Raw genomic sequence first — 21310 nt, 5'->3', positions numbered from 1 at the left:
GTATGGGAGAGTATAACACATAGCACATTTGGTTAATTCAATCCGGAGGAAAAATGTCTTCAACAACTAAGAAATATGGTAAATAATTTATAAACATAACATGATAAAAATAAAGAGTATAATAGCTCTTATGTACATAAAAGCCAATATTTAAATATTTGAGGGAAAATTTAACTCATATATAAGGAGTTAGGCATTTATTTGTCACCCAAATCACTGATATTAACTTATTAAAAATTTAATCACATTGTTTTTATTTTTCATCTAGTAGGCAGTTCCACTATATGTAAAACTACTGCAAGAAAGAAAGACCTTTTTAAATTTATTTTTGATATAAGATCTTGCTCTGTCACCAAGTTGGAGTGCAGTGGTGCAATCATAGCTCACTGTAAACTCGAACTCCTAGGGATAGGCGATTCTCTCACCTCAGCCTCCTGAGTAGTTGGGACTACAGCCACAACTGGCTAATTAAAAAAAAAAAAAATTATAGAGTTGGGGTCTTACTATGCTTCGCCGGCTGGTCTCAAACTTCTGGTGTCAAGCAATTCTCCTGCCTTGGCCTCCCAAAGTGTTGGGATTACTGGCGTAAGCCACTGTGTGTGGCAAGAAGACAACATTTTTAAAAATCAGATTACAGCTGAATGTCATAGAGCAAAATAACTGACAGGTTTCCCATTCTTCCTAGTTATGTGTAGAGATACTCAATGTGGCTAGTGTATAATATATTTTATGCTTGTTCTTAACTTTCCTAATAGTTAAATAATATGTGAATTAGTGTTATTTTAATAATTATTATACATTTTCATTTAATATATGTAACACTTCAGTAGCAACATAATATGAAAGACAAATTATGGATGAAATTTCTTAATTTAAGTACTAATTCAACTTTTCTGTAGATCTTTATTCATAAGGAAATCACTAAACTTATTTGGCCTCCATTTACATTGACTGGTGAAAAGGAATAAAAACTAATGCAAAAATTAACAATTGGCCTACAAGAGGAGAGTAGTGGCAAGCAAGTGTTTCCTGTTTAAAAGAAAGGGTATTTTTCCTTGAAGGTATTATTACTTGCTCTTTAAAGGGTGTGAAGTGTTTTCCACCAATTCTCTCTCCATTAGATGTTGATCAACATACTGTTGGCTAGTTAGTACAAGTAAACAAGCAACCAAACAATCAAAAACAGCAATATGCTTGTGCATGTATGCTGATTTCTTTATGTCCAATAAAGAAACAGGGAACTATGGGTGGCATCTCGTCAACCACACTGACCGCTTAGGCCAGGGTAAAAATCCCTCCTCTGAGATTATCTCTCACCACCTTCACTTTAGCTCTGGATTCCTCATCTGCCAGTGGGTACATGGCTTCAATTGAGTTTCAGTCTCATAGGCAAATATTGCTTGTGTGTTCAGCAACTTTTCTCCAGGCATTACATAGCAGGCATCACACTTGGAAAAATTTACTCAACATATCTAAGTCATGGTTATTGTTTCAGTGCAGCAGACATTACAGCAATAACTAAGATAGAGAGTTAAGAGTGTTAAGGGCCTATAAAAATGCTTAAGACTTAAAAGGTACTGAATGTAAATTTTACTAATGTAGCCATGAATATGTACTACTAATTTTGCTTATAACTAATGATCACAGGTTATTGCAGGATATTTTGACTAGTAAGTCATCAAGCTGCAATTTACACACATTATAATTTTTCCACCTAAATTTCATTTGCCATTTTCTCATCCATAAGTTAAGAAATGTATCTACATTTTTATCTTGCAGTTTTGCTTTCAACCTGACTTCTCTTTATTCATATTAGTATTAAGTCTTAGAATTGTAAAACATATGTTATTTCAACTGTTTTTTACCCACTTGAGTCATTCGTGGTCATAAGATATAAAAAAATGGCTTCACGTTTTATATGACTAAGCTCTAACTGCTTTTCCACATGAACTAGTCTGTAGATGTTTATATTTAGGTTCAATCATTTCCTTCTGGAACTTGTTAATTGGTTACGACATTTAAGAAATATATACTTAATTCATAGTATATGTAATATGCTGTCTTAGGGCTTTGGAAAGGGAAAATACAAAGAAAAATAAAACATTGTTCTCACCCTCAGAGAAATATAAAATTCTTTCCTTTTATATTTCCTCAGGTCTATTATTTTCCTATTTTTTTTCTCTCATAGGTTGGTCTGTCAATAATCCTATAATTCAAATTCATTTCACACCACATCTCAACAAAACCAGACTGTCCTACCTCATGGTTATTATGAGATTGAATATGATAATATTTATGAAAAGTCTACCAAACAAAAGCACTCTTTAAGTGTAGGGAATAATAATTTTATTTTCCTGTCAACTCTACAAAAATTTATATTTATTAAGGCAGGAGCCTTACTTTTTTCAGACTTCGTTTGTTCTGGGCTTTAATTAATAACTGTGTCACTTTGAACAGCTTGCTGAAACTTGCTTAGGGAAATTTTCTCATCAGCAAAATGTAGATTATAATGGGACCCACCTCCTAGGACTGCTGTAAGGATTAAACGGGCTAATCCATGTAAAGTGCTGAGCACAGCACATATGGAAACACTAAATAAATTATAAAAGAAAAATAATAACTAACAGTTATTTATGACTAATTATATAAAAGACATTTTATTGTTTTCATAGTAATTATATAATTTCATCAACACAGAATTCCTGATAAAGTTGTCATTATTATAACAGTAATAATTATTATTACTGTGGTTTTAACACTCAAGTAGCACAGTGATTGGTACACAGTAGACATTCAACAAATATTTGTTAAAATCTTGTTGAACTACAAATTATAATTGCCCTTGAGGCCTCAGTTAGCTGTATCAGTCAGCATTCTTGTAAGAACAGCATCTGATTGCAGCAGAAAGGAATTTATTTAAAGACATCGGATTGGATAGTTCACAGAATCAACAAAAGGATTGGAGATGCTGGCTCAGATGCTATGCCAGAAACAAGCCTCAAATCACAATAGCAGAAGTAATCTCTTGAGGGCATCAAGGAGCAAAAGCATTGCAGCTGGCACATCTGCCACACCAATACAGATCACTGAAGTCATCATTATCAGTAATGTCACCAGAGAAAGCATTTTATGCAACTTCCAAGATTTGTACATCTTTCTTATTAAGGGGATATGAAGAAGCAGTTACTTGTTCTTCATTTTGAAGAGGATATCCAAATGTGCACAGAATCACCAGACTCTCAATATAAATAACGTTTATTTTCAGTCCTCATGCATACTTAAGGTATAGGCCAGAAGCTAGAATACCTGCTAGTCGTGTTTTTTTACATATTTCACATTTCATATTTTTCAGAGTATGTCATTAACAAAATATGTCCTGTGGCACAGTGAGATGATCTACGTCCTTGTAAAATAAATTGTAGCACAGATGCTGAGAAATTACTTAAACCCAGAATACAATGAGAATCTTTAACTCTTGTAACTGACATATGAAAGAAAAATTGTGCCTGATATTCTCTGTTTACAGTTATAGAGAAAACAATTTATGCCAGAGAGGAAGCATTATCCCCAGTGCCAAGAATCATGCCAATGGTAAAGCTACCACATCAGGAATAGCAGTTTTAATTAGAATGACTCTATGTTGAAGCTTTAGCCAACATTTTGAGTTAATTGGAGATGGAATATGAATACTCTCTTCACAATTTTCAAGTACTGCATGCATCCCAAATTCCTGGAATTGTGTCAAACATGAAAAACAAGCAATGTAACTCTAGATTTATACTTTAAGCAGAAACAGGAAGCTTCACTTTGTATTTTTGTCTTAATTGATCTTACTCCATAATAGCTTATGAAGTCAATGTTCTTCCATTACAATTTTTTACTCAAGTAATTGGAAACTAAACATCTTATGGGTTACAGTCTTTATTGGCCTAATGTGAAGAGCATATAGGAGAAATTGAATTTATTACCGGATTTTTATAAGACCACACTCTGATTTCCAGAATATTGTAGCATACCAGGGCCCCAGAAATTATCACTCACCATTCGAGTTGAATATTTGCCATACTTACTAACCTGTGATACAAGAGATGTGGTCTTTGAAATGATTCAGGAATGATTCAGGGCTGAGAATTTGATAAGACAACTTTCTTCTCATGATGACTCAAACCAGGCCTTTGTTGCCAGACCTATGTCTTGCTTTTTATATATATATATATATACAAATTAAATAGGACCTCAAGGCACTGGTCATGTATTTGTCAATGCGCATGATCTGATTAGTAAACTCTAAAATTTCTACAGGTTAAACATTTCTAAGTAGCACATTGAACTATCTGTGTATTACAATACCTATGTTCACTGTGACTCTGATGGCTAATAGTTGCTACTGGGCCTCAGTACAGAGGGTAATTATATATTCATTGAAGTCAGAGCTGAACTGATTTCACACCGATTTTCACTCTGATGTCCCTATCCTATAGACAAATGCCAATACAGCACTCGGAGATACTAGCATTCCTTTTACCCATGCATTTAATGCTTTTTCCTCCAATAAAAAATGAGCAAATTCTTGGTAGTCTGTTGGAAAATTATCCTTCCCTTTGAATATTTTTAATAAGCTCCCCTGGGGCATAATGGGCATAAGAATTGGCTTCACAGGGGTGGGAAAGCAAAAGTTTATGCTTTAGATTATTTTAAATCAATTCCAGTCATCCTACATATCTACCCTTCAGTTCCGAGGTTCCCATGCCTCTCCAATCACGGTTCTTTGTAACTTTAACATAACAGATCTGAAAGGAATTTAAATTCAATCCTGGGGTCAAAGCTTGTTTTGAAGCCCTACAGCTGCAAGAGGTGAAAGATTTATTTAGCACAGGCTTTGAAAGTCTCACATTCATTCTGTACTTTGAATGGGTAGGAATTGGGGCACTTTAAGCAAACCATCTCTATTAGTAGTAAACTCACCCACAGTCTTTGAATTTTTCATGCTCTTCATTCAATTATATGCAGGCATATAGGTCCAAATGCCATTTCTGCAACACACACTTCATTCTAGGTGGGCAGAGGTGGAATTTCTAATGTCAAAATTCTACCCTTAATGCTGTGTAGGTTTATAAAGCTTTTTGTCCCAGCCAGTAGGAAACAAACCACATATGCTCTCAATTTTCTTTGGAAGCTTTTACCAAACCACTTCTGGTATCTGTACCTGTATAAGCCCAGATTCTTTGATGTAAATAAGACAAACAGGCTCTAGCTCACTTAATCGGATAAATTCAGGGATTTTGGATGACACAACCAAAATCCAAAATCGGATAAAGGGATTCTGGATGGCACATCAAATCGCCAAGAAAAGTAGGGAAACCTACTCATGTGCTACACAGGAAACAGTAAAAAAAAATTTCATAGGCCCGGCGCGATGTCTCACGCATGTAATCCCAACACTTTGGGAGGCTGAGGCGGGCAGATCACCCGAGGTCAGGAGTTCAAGTCCAGCCTGGCCAACATGGTGAATCCCCGTCTCTACTAAAAATATAAAAAACTAGCCGGAAGTAGTGGTATGCGCCTGTAATCCCAGCTACTTGGGAGGCTGAGGGACGAGAGTCGCTTGAACCCTGGGGGTGGAGGTTGTAGTGAGCAGAAATCATCCCACTGGACTCCAGCCTGAGTGATAGAGTGAGACCCCATCTTAAAAAAAAGAAATGCATAAGACGTATTTAGTGAGGTCAACACTGCTAACTGCAATGAACAACACCATATGGAACTAACCAACTAACCATTACCATTACTGCTGCAAACATTATCTCCTGAGAAAATTTCTCTAGGCACTCTCTTTGTCTTTGCATTAACAACTTAAGATCAAAATCTGGGTGGTACACCTGTTTCTTCTAGTTTAAATGATACACCCAATCCCTCCGTAGTTGCAAGGACACTGGGAGAGTGAGGACCTGGGTTTTCCAGCTTCTAAGAGATAAGGCTGTATTTGAGTAATTTCTCAAACAGATGAATGGGGTCATAAACAGGGCAACCCAGTGAGGGACAGATTAATTGGCTTGATGTATTGAAATGCTTTAATATAAAACATGATGCATCTTTCAGAGAAAAATAAAATAGTGAGAAACAGCATACCTTATTTCTGGCAGCTACTAAGGAATTAGAATCTGTTTCTGATTTATACCCTTATGTACCCATCACTTTGTAGCCTCATAAAATTGTCCAGTTCACAAGCTATTGAACAGGCTTGCCATTTACTTTATGCAGCATTATAGTATTTTGTCAGTTTCCGTATAAACTCTATACCCATGGCTTATAGAATGGTTTGAATAGACTTACATTGATGTGTGGCTACTCAAAGTCATATCAGTGATTTACTGTAGATATTGGGAAATTTCAAAACCAATACAAATCATTGAAATAGTCCCTTAGAACCGTTAGGAGAAAAAAAGTTAGCAAAAGTAAAAAATCTACCAGTTCTACTAAGGGTTATAGCGAGGGTCAAAATTTGTGTATTAGTAGTGCTCCCTGGAGGAGCAGGTGCCATTTCAGCCCTTGGTAACTTTCTGCTATTCAGGACACTGTCTGGAATTTCTCTGTCTCAACTTTTCTTGCCGTGAGTCTTTCTTCTCACTCACATTCCCACTTCTTTCATATCTTGCCAATTTTGTATCTTACTGACTTAAAGCTAGTATTTCTGTAGTGTCGAGGTTTTTGATTAACTTATTTGCTAGAATTTTTTTTTTTTTTGCCACTGAAAATCAGAAGACAAAGGAACTCATATTCCAGGAAAATGTGGTTCTCAAGAAACAAGAAATAGCTTTATTAGAGGGTGTTCTGGTTGAGCAATAACATTGAAAACATAGTTTCATATTTATTTGTCAGCTTTGGAATTAGTACTTAGTATTGCGTCTAAACCAACTGTAGACTAAACAACAGCAAAACACACACACACACACACACACACACACACACACAAAAAAAAAAAAAAAAAACAGCCAATGAAACAGAGCATACTTGCTATGTGTTCATGTATGGAAAGCCCCAAAGTTTTGCATTTAGTGTGAGAAAGTAATACTTTTTTTTTTTAGTTTATTGCTTACAAAAAAATTGTGTTACTAGAATTTGTTATGAGCACTTATTATTTTCCAAGAAATCCTATGTTCACAAACATAAGTAGAAGAAATGGATTTAAAGTCATTGGATTGGTAATATAAAATCAGAAATGATCATTTTTTGTGTGTAAAAACAAATGTTTGCATGGATTCTTTATATATATATCAGACATATGTTTTTTTCTATTTCTCTTTTTATTTTATGTGCCCTGTGATCATCCTTTATGTATTTCGTTAGATATTATGTATTTTTCTATCATTGTACTGAAACTGTTGCTATGCTTTCATAATAAATTTATTATCCATATTGCATTGTCATTTCTACTGAAATACTTGAATTATACCAATATATACATTGATTTAAAAAAACACATACATAAAATGTGAGCCAGTAGAGTTTTACCTCATGTTAACAAGTAATTAAATAATGTCATTTTATTTAAATGTCTGAAGCCAGGCACTGTAGGTCATACCTGAAACTCCAGCGTTTTGGGTCGATGAGATGGGAGGATTGCTTGAGCCTGTACAATATGGTAAGACCCCATGTCTACAAAAAAAAAAAGAGATAAAAGATAAAATATTAGCTAGGCATGTAATCCTACCTGCTGGAGTGGACGAGGCCGGAGAATTGCGTGAGCCCAAGAGCTCAAGGTTACAATGAGCTATGATCATGCCACCCTACTTCAGCCTGGGCAATAGAGTGAAACCTTGTCTCTAAAAAATAATAAATAAAAAATCAATGTCTGAAACAGAAGATATGTACTTGGTGTATTGATAATTCTGTAGTATTGTGCTTATATTTTATATGTATTCACAATATTAATATAAATTGTAATATAATTAGCACAATAATATGAATTAATAACAATCATAAAAGCAAGCACAAGTTTCCTCTTTCAATACTCCCTATCCATAGTCCTGCTTACCAATGACAGCAGCTTCTGTTTTGAGTTATTTTAGTTGATTTATAACTCAAGAAATTACTTACAAATAATGAAAAACTGATTAATGTTTTACATAATTCAGGAAGTAAATTATATACCCTCAAAACTCTAGAAAACTTAGAATGCTTTAGAATATCTTTGAAAATATATTCTAAAGCAGTTCTGAATAGAGGTTCTGAACATTTGAAAGTACACAATTAACTGCATTGGTCAAAGTTTTTTTACGTTTATTAGTAAGGGCAAAAATTCCAATCGGGGGTATGTATCTGAGTCTGATTCTTTAACATCCCCAAAATTTTCAGTTCCCCACTCTCATCAGTTTAATTCAATTGCAAAGCATGGAAATAAATGCCAAAGACATAAATACATAAGATAATTTAATATAGTGGTGTTAATAAAACTTTTTGCTAACAGAGTTATGAAACCAAGTCTTACCTGTGTTTTGCATATAAAATTGCTCCAATAAAATCTGCATGAAGGATTACTGGGATAAATAATTGAATTAATATTTATAGCTATTAGTTTCAAAATTAGCTAATTGGTTATCAAGTGTTAACTAGATTTTCTATTGACGGAAAAAGGATAAAGGCACAACAAACCTTGTTTAACTATTTTCAAAATTACTCAATTTTTAATGGAGAAGTAGTAGTAGTCCAGAGAGTTAACATCATGCCTCATTATTCATCTATAATTTATTAGAAAGTTGTCACCCAGTCTAATTCTATTTATTTCCACAGAATTCATTAATATAATACATTTCACTACGTATTATTATTTGCTTCATGTGAAAAGTTTTAAGAAGACTGTGACTGACTATAAATTCCTGCCAGCTTAGATGATGTTTATTCCCATTATTATTGTTTTTGCAGTTGGTTACTTTGTTTCTCCATTGTCCTCAAAATTATGCCATGAAAAGTACTCACTTGATACATACTTAACACAGAGATATTTGTAGAATAAAATCTCTCTAATTACCAATATTTTAGATTAACTTTTTCTGGGTAATTTTTACATGGTATTGATTTGTTTTCTTTTACAGGCTTATTTATGTATCCCCAAAAGTAGGGCTGTTGTGTATTTTCCACTTTAAAAGCAAATAATACTTTATTTTTTACATAGCTTTGGTAATTCCTATAAGATAAAATGTTATCTGGCATCCCTAACAATTGTGTTTTATTTCTGTAGTTATGTAAATTGTTGATTTATATTATAATACTAATGCATCATTCAAATTTTATTTCTGTATTCTATAAATATAAATTTTACTAATTGCCAACAATAAAAGAAAAGATATCCACAGGAATATTTCCGGGGGTCTTCTAAGTAGAGTGAATTTCAGATACTGAAGATGTTAGTTTTAACATCTGAAAATATTGCACATCATTAGTCATTTTTTTAAATAAAAAGACAGGTTTATTCATATTTGTTGTCATAGATTGAAACATCTGTATGTACTGTGCACAACAGGTGTTCAGTAAATGTTTTGGGTGACAGTGGTGACTCTTAATGATTTCATAATGAAGTAATTATTCAAGTGTCATATTAAAACCCTATTTCTTAGAAATTACATACTGGCAATTTTCAGCTGCCATACATTGTTATACTCACTTTAGTTCAGTTAAAATGTATTTAAAGATACTCCTTATCTTCAATAAAATTTATGAATTTAAATCCCTTCCCAATACTATTATAACAAACAATGAACATAATTAAACTATGTATGCCTACAATACAATAAAGGATTTTCAAAACTATTCAAGTAAAGATGACAATGAAATGAGTAATTAGTTTTGAAGATAGTGGCATCTGCTATGTAAATAATCCAAGAAATGCTTTCCAATTTCCATGCATTAACTCTTTATTCAAAAGAGGGAATTTAACAAAAGACACAAATGGGACCAAATAAAATATAGGATATGATCAAATTGGAATTATAGGCGAGGCAGAGTGGCTCTACTCCTGTAATCCCAGCACTTTGGGAGGCAGAGATGGGGTTTCACCTTGTTGGTCAGCTAAAAAATTACAAAAAAGTAGCTGGGCCTGGTGGCACGCACTGTAATCACAGCTACTCGGGAGGCTGAGGCAGGAGAATTGCTTGGATGTGGAGGTTGCAGTGAACCGAGATGGCACCTTTGCACTCTAGCCTGGATAACGAGCAAAACCCCATCTCAAAAAAAAAAAAAATGCATCTATTATTTAAACTCTGCTTACTTAAAAAATGGTTTGAAGCATATTGGACAGATACGCCCTATAAAATGTTTTCTCTTTTCTTTTTTCTGTAAAAAGTACTGTTACCTTGCTTAGTTTTCCTTCTTTTTTCAGATAAAAGTCTATTCCTTCAATGCCGTAAAGATGCCAGAACTCTGTACTTATTTGATCTAGGAAAAATAAACCCAATGTTCATGAATATAATTCACTGTGAATTGTTAAAAAGTTGCATTTCCCAGCATTGATATTTCGTTAAAGGGAAGTCATACAATATATTTTTCCTTTTGTGTCTGGTTTATTTCACTGAGTGTAATATCTTAAAGGTCTGTCTATGCTGTAGCATGTGTCAGAACTTTATTCATTGTTATGGCTGAATAATATTCTATTGTATGTATATAATACATTTTGTATATGCTCATATTTGTTGATTAACCGTCTAGTTGTTTCCACCTTTAGAAAATTATTTCAACTATCTTTTGTGTTCAGATATTTATTAGCTCTTCTTTATTATTATTTATTTTAGTGTAGCATCAACTTTTATTCCTAATGTTGGTTAAACGAGACAGTTGAAAAGACAGCACAATTATTGACTCAAAAACAAAAGCCAATATTTCAGCTTTAAATTCTTTTCAGTATTTTTTTAGCATGTACTCATGTTTTAAATGGTTAGTCATAACAAATTAGAATATAGTCAGTTACAAAGAGGGTTAAAAATAAGATCGGTTATAATTAGGGTGCATAGTTTAATATTATAATTTTATATTTAAAATCTAAAATTTTATATTTAAAAAGGTTTTTGTTTTTCTTTAAAAACTGATACAATTATTTGGTTTTATATATTTTCTATTCTGATTTAATAAAAATTTCTGAAAAGGTTTTTAAATATACAAAGGATTATTAATACCATTGCCAAAAATGAAAGTCAGATTAATGATTATGTATTGAAGAAAGTTTACTGAAAGACGTTTAAAAGAAGCACACAGAAAAATTAAGTTAAACTTAAACTTTCTGCTTCAACTATTTGCTTTAGCACAAATTATTTTAGTTTTCTTCTTTCATGAAAGTTCTATTTTAAAGGGAACAGCAAAGAAGATAATTCTAAAGCATCTAAAAACCCCATCTTCTATTAATTTGCTACTCACAAATGAGGCACTGTATTTATTTGTTCTTAATTTGACATATATGTGTATATGTATTTGTTCTTAATATTGACATACGTGTTTGTGAAAAACAAAAAATAATTGTTTCATAATTAAAGTGTTGAATTTTGACATTTTTCAGATGAATTCAAGTTATTTATGAAAAGGCTACCTATGAATTATTTCCTCAACACATCTACTATAATGCATTTGTGGACAATGGATTCTAATTTTCAGCGCCGTTATGAACAACTGGAGAACAGCATGAAACAACTTTTCCTAAAGGCGCAGAAAATTGTACACAAGCTTTTTAGCCTTAGCAAGAGGTGTCATAAACAACCCCTCATCAGCCTGCCAAGACAAAGGTAAGACATTTGTGGTAATGTAAGCAATTAAGTTTATTGCCGAAAAAGTGAGTTCTATTTATTTTTCTGAATGCAGGTGTGTTAATATACAAATCATGATCTAATTTATACTATTAGAGATAATTTGAAAACAATATATTGTCTCAAATAATAAATTATAGTTATTTCTCAAAGTAATAGTACAATGAGAAAAATATATACTAGCACTTATTTCTTTTTTTCTTTTCTTATCAAAATGAAGAAATCATTCTAATTTATTATGTGTTGTAGCCAACTAATAATTGCATTACAGTGAGCAGAAAAGCACAAAGCCCTATGGTTACATTGTGAGCCTAGGAAACAAACAGGATGAGAAATTAAAATTCCTCAATACATAATTTTCAAATAAAATAATTCAAGATGTATTTTCTATAACCAGTGTATAGAAAACCACAAACCTAATTCTACAAAAACTTCTGAAAATTACTATGAAAGCTTCTAAAATTTAATAGGAATGATGACAACAATTAAATTATTTGTGTCTGAACTGACTTGGGGAAGCAGTGTTTGAATTTCCTGCTTTAGGATGTACTGACAAGTAAGTGTAATAAAAAGTTGTATTTATCTATTTGAGGTCAGTTCGAAAACAAAAAGCTACGGGAAAATATAGGACACTATCACAAGAAATATATATTTGTATCAGTATATCTTACATAAAATGTTTGAATTTTGACTTGGTGCTTAAATCATTAAGATGAGAACTCTGTGATTATAGATTTCTTTTGCTGGAAAAAAAACCCTGAAGGTTAGTACATAATTTTAAACATCCATTTAAAAAGAAAACATTGGATTGTTTTTGTTTGTTTGGTTGGTTTTACAATTTATTGGTGTCTAGTATAAAAAAAAAACTATGCAACCATCATAATCTAAGGTGAGGTCATTTTCATTGCCTCAAAAAGGAATGGATTACCAATTAGCAGTCACTCCTCATAAACCTTCACCCAGTCCAAGGCTGTTTCTCTCTATAAATTTGTCTAATCTACTATTTGTCTCTATAGATTTGCCTATTTTGGACATTTTCTGTAAATGGGATCGTACAATATATGGCCTTTTGTGACTAGCTTCTTTCACTTAGCAAACTGCTTTCAGGTTCTTCTATGTTGTAGCATCAGTAGTATGGGTATACCACATATTGTTTATTCGTTCATCACTTGATGAAGATTTGGCTTGTTGTACTTCTAAGCTATTATGAATAATGCTTCTATAAACATTCATGTACACTTTTTTATGTGGACATATGTTTCAATTTTCTTGGGTATATACCAAAGTGGAGAAATGCTGAGTCATGAGACAACTGTATTTAACATTTTGAGAAGCTACCAAACTGTTTTTCACAGTGGCTGCACCATTTTATATTTTCACCAGTCACAAATGACAACTCCAATCTCTCCACATTATCTTCAACACTTGTGATTTTGTATCAATTTGGTTATAGCCATCGAAGTGAATATGAAATAATATCTTTTGGTTTTGATTTAAATTTCCCTAATGACTAACAATATTGAACATCTTTTCATGTGCTTTGAACATCTTTTCATGTTCATTGTATATCTTTTATGGAAAAATGTCTATTCAAATCCTTCACAGATTTCAATATTTTTTTGAAAGTGGGCATTGAGTTGTAAGAGGACTTCATATGTTCTGATTGCAAGTTCCCTATCAGTTGTATGATATACAGATAATTAATTCTATTCTTTAAGGTGTCTTTTCAGTTTCCTAGGCAGTCCTTTCTCTTTTCTTTCTCTCTCTCTCTCTCTCTCCCCCTCCCTGTGGTCAGTTTAGCTAAAAGTTTTTCAACCTCATTTTCATTTTTCACTAACTTTTAGTTTTCTTGATAGTCCTTATTATTTTTTTCATTTTTAGTTTATTTTTCATACCAATTCTATTATTTTTTCCTCTTTGCTGTGTGTTTAATGTCATTTTCTTTTTCTGGTTTCTTGGAATAAAAACTTAAGTTATTAATTTGAGAATTTTCACCTTTTGGGAATAAAACATTCTTTTTAATTTTTCAACTTTTATTTTAGATTCAGGTGGTAAATGTACACATTTGTTTTATAGGTATATTGCATGATGCTGAGGTTTGAGGTATGATTGATCCCGTCACCCAGGTAGTGAGCATAGTACCCAGTGGTTTTCAATAATTGGCCCCCTCACTTTCTCTCCACTCTAATAGTCTCTAGTGTCTACTTTAGCATGTTTATGTCCATAAGTACCAAATGTTTAGTTCTTGTATTAGTCCATTTTTATGCTGCAGATAAAGACATATTTGAGACTGGGAAGAAAAAGAGGTTTAATGGACTTACAGTTCCACATGGCTGGTGGAGGCCTCACAATCATGGCAGAAGACAAGGAGGAGCAAGTCACATCTTACATGAATGGCAGCAGGCAAAGAGAGAACTTGTGCAGGGAAACTCCCATTTTTAAAACTATCAAATCTCATGAGACTTATTCACTATCACAAGAACAGCATGGGAAAGACCTGCCCCATGATTCAATTACCTCCCACGGGGTCCCTTCCACAACATGTGGTAATTCAAGATGAGATTTGGGTGGGAACACAGCCAAACTATATCAGTTCCCACTTATAAATAAGTACACACATTAATTGGCTTTCTATTCTTGCATTAACTCACTTAGGATAATGGCCTCAAGCTGCATTCATGTTACTGCAAAGGACGTGATTTTATTTTTTATGGCTATGTGGTATTCCATGGCATGTATGTACCATATTTTTTTATCCAGTCCACCATTGTTGGAAACCTAGGTTGATTCCTTGTTATTGCTTTCATCTTTTTAAATACAGTCATTCACATCAATAAAGCTTCCTCTAAGCACTGCTATAAATCATTATTTTATGCATCTCATAAGTTTTCTTATTTCCTCCACAAATAAGATATTTAATATGTCTTTTTGTGTACTCCCAGGGAACATTCCATGCCTGGAAAATGTGGCTGGGTGAAGATCTTGTTATTTGATTATAATGAGCCTTATGCTTTATATATGTAGGTTAAAAGCAATTTGAAAACCATGTAATACATTATTTTACCCAAAATAGAAAGTGCAAGAAGATGAGGTGAATTAGGAAGCAAATTGATGAGTCTGGTTATAAAGACATTGACTTTAGGGTTCTTTTTAACTAGTACATCTAGAGCTGGATATGTATGTCTGAAGCTCAGGGAAGATTTGGACAATCTCAGGGAATCCAATCTCAAGGAACGGCAATCATTGGTTCACAGGAATCCATGAAATCTGAATCCAGCTGACATTTGAACAACACGAGTTTGAACTGCGTGGGTCCAGTTATATGCAGATTTCTCCCAATCAAAAAGATTTTCACACAACCTTTTCCATCACCAAGTTCCTCATCCTCAACCTGGTGGATGAAAAATATAGTATTTATGGGATGCGAAACCCATGCATAAGGAGGGCTGATTTTTGTATCCTCAGATTCTGCAAGGCTTACTGTGGGTCTTGAGTATGTGTTAATTTTTTTTTTTAATATTGGGGGAATGGAGGAATTCCTGGAACCAATCCTCTTGGGATACTGAGGGAAGACTGTATTATCAGAAAGTGCAGATATATGTGAGGTGAGTGAAAAAACAGAAACTGCAATTGAGCAGATACTAGAGTAAAATATATCATGGAAGCCACATTAATTTCTAGTAAAAATAAATGAATTATAAGTTGACATACAAAAATGCTATACAAGTTCAAGTTTTGTAATGAAAATGTGGGAAGCTGAAATCCCAGTTCAAACTGGGAGCGTCCAACACAAATAAGTAGAATAAAATAGAAGTGTAATATTTGCATTAGAATTCAACATAGTAGAGATAAATCTTTGTTTTCCAAAACTTCTAAATTAAATAAGTCAAATATTGCCACAGAATTTTCTTGACTTCCTTTTTTTTAATTTAGCGTAATTCCTAAGTTGACTATTAGTCACCACACACACAAAAACAATGCAGACTTCTTGCTAGATAAATTTGTTTATTGAAGTTTGATATTTTCCATCCCCGTTTTTCTTTTACTGCCAATGTAACATTTTGTTTCTATCTCTCTTTTTTTCCATTTTAAAAGAATAATATGAAATGACATCAGGAAAACAAAAAAAAAATATGTACTGGATTCTAGGAGGGTAGAATATGGTAGAATGTAAACTGAACATTGGGTATTTGTAAGTTACATTTTCAGAAATTTTTGAAGAAGACTTAGATAAGCCATACCAGTAATTCGCTTTCATTACAAATTATATTTTTTTCTTGCCTTTATGGAATTGTTCTCAGTCATTCCCTTGAACTTTTCTCTCAATTTATGATCTGCTAAGATCTTGAAAAATAAGCAAAAACAAACAAGACCTTCAAAGTACATCTCCACCAATAAGATATTTTCACATTTCCTATATAATGACAGATAGATTAAAGTTACTCTGTATAGTGTATAGTTCTTCCTTTTCAATAAAGCTTGACATTCAGATTAATCTCACCATTTTTGCTCTGAGGAATTCATGCGACATAAAAATCATTTTTCTTACTTGAGTAAACTCTAAAGCCTGCGACAATTTGGTTTCCTTGAGGTAGTCAACTTTTGCTCCTATTCTAAAACTTTGCAGCTATGTAACAATGGCTTACTAATTTCATCACAAGATAGTGATTACAGCAATTGTATTGTCTGCTTCCACACTGCTATAAAGAACTACCTGAGACTTGGTAATTTCTAAAGAAAAGAGGCTTAATTGACTCACAGTTCTTCCTGGCTGGGGGGACTGCAGGAAACTTAGAATCATGGAATAAGGCAAAGGGGAAGCAAGACACATCTTGCATGGCACCCAGAGGAGAGAGAGAGAAAGGAAGCTAGGGGGGAAGTGCTATACTTTTAAAACATCAGATCTTGTGAGAACTTACTCACTCAGGAGAACAGCACAGGGGAAACTGCCCCTACAATTACCTCACACTAGGTCCCTCCCTAATGTGGGGATTATAATTCGAGGTGAGATTTGAGTAGGGGAACAGAGCCAAATTATGTCAGCAATTATTGAAAACTATCATAGTATAATTCCTAAAACGTAACTGAGCTATACTATGTTGTGCTGCCATTCACAGAGCAGCAAGGATCCATAGAAATACTACATTTAATGAAGTGTTGGTAAAAGTTTAGCAAACAACTCTTTAGGAAAAAGGAAAGCTTTGATGAACAATATTTAACAATTTTTGTTCACTACCACAGTCAATATCAATCTACCAATGTGATGTCACTGAACACAGAGTTGTGAATAGAAGTACACACTCAGATCTTCTGAGTCAGGACACACAGGCTGCAGCAAGCAATTAAAACAATTGAATATATTATTATTATGAAGTTATTCATATTTTATTAACAAAATAAAGTGAGATGTAATGGAATATTTTAATGCCACAGAGAAAAATGAGTTGAAGTCTACCTATTCATTATATAAGAGCTATGTCATGCACTCCTATATATGCTCTTTCAACTTATATATGAAAATCTTCCAAATGCTGACATATTTCAGTAGGCAATAACAAAAGAACTTATTATTAATATCATCATTGGACTCATGAGAAAAGCCTTTACATTTTAGAAAGCTGTCAGTCTTCTAGTGGCAGATACAAGTTCTGTATTGTTCACTTGAATGCTTTATTGTTATCATTGCCGTTAAATAAATCAGTTGTTTGTCCTGAAGCAACAGCCTCATTTTTTTAAGTTTTGATAACAGATCCACCAAGTGTCCAAGTCTGAATAACCATCATTTTTCTGTCAAACTATGTCAAGTAAAAATGGTTTTCCATGAAAAACGTGGCTACCTCAGCCTGCAACTAAAATAATGGCAAAAGTTATTTTCCTCAAATCAACTATTATAGTGCTATCTGCAGCATAAGTCCTTTATTCATGTGTCTTGTTTTGACATGCAGATTTATACTGAAGATTAAGATGCAGTAAACTTTCTTTTAAATGCTTCAAAATGAACATTCTTGAAAACATTTCTTTCTGTTTTACAAGTATGTATCAGTAAGGAATATATCCCCACTAGGAGAGCAGTTTGGTGGCACTAATTGGTTTGTAGTAAGCCTTCAGCAGTAGTTTACTCTCCATTGCTTTAGAACTGTCAGTGGAAGTGTCAAAACAATGCAAAAGAAAAATGTCTTATTTATTTCTATGAAAATAGTTTTGACTTTGTGCATCTTCTGATAGGATCTTGCCCTCTTTTCCCACCTACACCCAGGGCTATGTGGATCACTCTTTAGGATAGAGAATGCCTGAAATCAATTTCTTCTCCTCCTAAGTAGCTAATAGACAGAAGACAAACACTTCTTCCTTTGCATCTTCTCTTCCTTTACTAGTACAACCCTGAGTTTCATCTGAGCGCATGCTGCATCACACCTGTATACCTTCCTTGCACCTAAGGTGGATACATGTATATAAATGGGAGGAATGCATGAAACTCCTAAATTGGTTCTTAAGGGAAGAAGAATATGTGTCATCTTTTTTATCTCTTTCCCCTAGCTAAGATGAAAATGTGATGACTAGAACTAAAAATCATAACTGAAAAAACTTGTGAAGAACTGTAGAACCCAGCATCTTTGAGGCCACCATATAAGTCATGGATTGTTTATGTTGTACTGTTATTTGAGAGGAATAAAATTCCATTTTGTATAAGTTACTGTTATTTGAGTTATATTACTAGAGCCAAACTTGCATCCCAACAAATAAAAGTACCTTACAGAATGGCCTCCAAATTATTTCTTTACTTATTCATTTTGTTGAGACAGAGTCTTACACTGTTGCTCAGGCTGTTGTGATCATAGCTCACTGTGGCCTTGACATCCTGAGCTCAAGGGATCCTCCAACCTCAGTCTCCTGAGTAGCTGGGACTACAGGCATGAGCCACCATGGCTGACCCAAATTCTTTAATATTATAGAATCTATGATTTAGTTAAAAATTGCATTTATATATTAATGTGAGGGACTTTTGCTGAAAGCAATTTTATATGAAACTGTATGGAAATTAGGATATTAGTTTTTTCTTACACTTACATGTTATAAAATGATCTTTTATTATTTTATTTTTCTAGTTTCAGGCACTCCAGGATGACTCACAAGCACATACTCAGTAATAATGAAGCAGTAAATTTACAAACCCTTACATTTATGTATTAAATGTTGTTATTGAGAAATGGAAATATGAAGTACCCAGTGCATGAAAGGTGCTTAGATAAGTACTTTCCATTTCAAAAACAGAAAACCCCTTTTCTTGTGTGTAGGTATTTTCTAATACACTCATAAATTTTCTGCAAAATGTCTTTCATGTGTTTCATACTCAAAATAAAATTGGCCATAAAGATAATGGTCTAAATGCAAACAAACTGTTACTTAAGAAAGAATGTCTTAGTTGTCTGAATTCCGATTCAAGGGAGCCAAGATTAGCTTTTTGAGGACAACAGAAGAAGAAGGAAAAAAAATCGTGCATGTACCCCACTGTTCTTGATTGGGATAACTTCTAAATAAGTTTCAAAGTAGGGAAAATTGTCCTATCACTTATGCTACCTATTTTCATCTAATTCTTGATATAGCTTACATTTCAGCCACCATGGCTCTAAAATGGCCTTGGTTTTATTTTTGCCATAATATTTCTACTCTAACCTACTCATAAATCTTTTAATTATCTTTCACTTTATTATATCTTAGACAGTTGTGAGTTGAAATTAGTTTTTTAAACTCATTTATATGTATTATGTGTATGTATAAAAATTATTGGTACTCTTTATTATACTATTTGTCAGCCATGCCAGTCACTAATTTGGGCATTTTAGGCAGAGTACGACTATAATGATAAAATAAAATTAAAGTCTGTAGAAATATAGTGTTGTGCTTGCTTTTCTTCATCTTTTTCTCACGGATGAAAGATTAGGACATAGACTTCGGTACCTCAACATTTTGTCCAGTGAACTCTGTCTGCAGCCCACAGTGTACACAGGAAAGATGTCCAGACTCAACCCAATAGAGGCACTTTTTTTAGATAGCTGATTTTGACAATAATAACAGAGTCAAAAGGCTTTGCTTTTTTGGGGGGCGGGGGGGGGGTTGGGGGAGATTCTGTGGCGATATATATATATATATATATTTGTGCATGTATGTAATAGTTCAAAATGATCATCTCATTATATTTATAGAGAATCAGCATGTTGTTTTTTGGACCATATCAATTTCAATTTTTACAACAATGAGAAAGTGTAAACTCTGAGTCTGTCTGAGAAGGTAATGAATAATTATTTGCTTGAGATTGGTATCTAGCATGAAAGCTACTAGAAAGCAACTAAAGTGTTGAGATAATGACTGCCATGGTTGGTTAACAAAAAATATATTTAAAAAGGACCAAAAATATTCTATATCTATATATGAATTAATTTAAAAAGAATTAATTTTACTGACAACAATCTAAAATAATAAATTTATCTAAGATAATGTATTTTATCTCAAATAAATACATTCCTTTTTTAAAAGGGAGTGGTGGTTAAACAAAGTTGGAGATTCTTGAATACTACAGCCCTTTTTGGAAAGCTACAACACATGCATGCCAAATACTCCATAAAATTTTACAATTAGGAAATAAACATGATTAGACTAATTTAAACAAGGGATTTTCAGAATTAAATTTCTACTTCCTTAAATGCCTGTTAAATTGTCCAAGTATGTGCTTGGAGATCAGTGTCACGTCATCTTTTCTCCAGTTTTTTGATTTTAGGCTTGTCTTTTGTTGTAATGTAGTAACTTCAATCACAGTAAAATATTTGGCAATTACCTTGTGCTGAAAATTATTTTGGAAGACTCTTCTTTGCTCACCTCTTTAGTTGTCTTCTTTGTGCTGGGTATCAATCACTGGCAAACAATTACTTCATTACCTTCTCAAATGGACTCAGAGATTACACCACTATGTCCTTGTAAAATTCTAATTTGATAGGGCCAGCAAATAAAATGCTGATTCATTTACTAGGACATATTTTTGTCAGATTTCTTTCTTATAACCTTTATTTCTGAGATTTTCATCTCAATTTTTATTTTGGCTTATATAGAGAGAGTTACTTTAAGTGAGACTCTTCTTTTGATATTGATACATGAACTTACATATGAGAGAAAAATTTTATGGAGTACAAATTGATAAACTGATTATTTGCTGATATCACATTAACTGTCAATGGTTTGTAGATGAGCCACATAGTGTAAATCCATATAGATCCCAAGGTACTAATGTTTCTCCAGATCTTACAATGTTTTTGACCGTGAAATCTTTAGAATGGTTGTACTTTTGCTTTTTAAATATAATTAAGTTAGGGCTGAATCTCTAATAGGTCTCATCTATATTTGAATCACTTCTAAACAATTTTACTTGTTTTTGAATAAGTGGATGCCTTTTAAACTGCCAAATAAATAGGAATCTGAACATCATTTTTTCTTTTTTCTTTTTTTTTGAGACTGAGTCTTGCTCTGTCACCCAG

The 21310-nt window shown here is 33.1% G+C and overlaps 1 protein-coding gene across 14 annotated transcripts in view; it reads left to right on the top strand.

Annotated features, from left to right (window-relative positions):
- The window catches only part of BRINP3 (BMP/retinoic acid inducible neural specific 3), a 380207-nt gene that overhangs the window by 305435 nt on the left and 53462 nt on the right, over nucleotides 1–21310 (top strand). For 13 of the 14 annotated variants that reach the window (XM_017001129.2, NM_199051.3, XM_017001127.2 and 10 more), the window contains one exon: nucleotides 11540–11762. In XM_017001129.2, coding sequence (XP_016856618.1) covers nucleotides 11540–11762 — 223 coding nt within the window. Of the gene's footprint in view, nucleotides 1–11539; nucleotides 11763–18320; nucleotides 19676–21310 lie in introns of those variants that run through there. The other variant, XM_017001132.2, reaches the window with a different exon arrangement.

This window comes from Homo sapiens, chromosome 1, assembly GCF_000001405.40.
Source record: "Homo sapiens chromosome 1, GRCh38.p14 Primary Assembly".
In the NCBI taxonomy this organism is placed as follows: Eukaryota; Metazoa; Chordata; class Mammalia; order Primates; family Hominidae; genus Homo; species Homo sapiens.
This window is presented reverse-complemented; position numbering and strand designations above follow the sequence as displayed.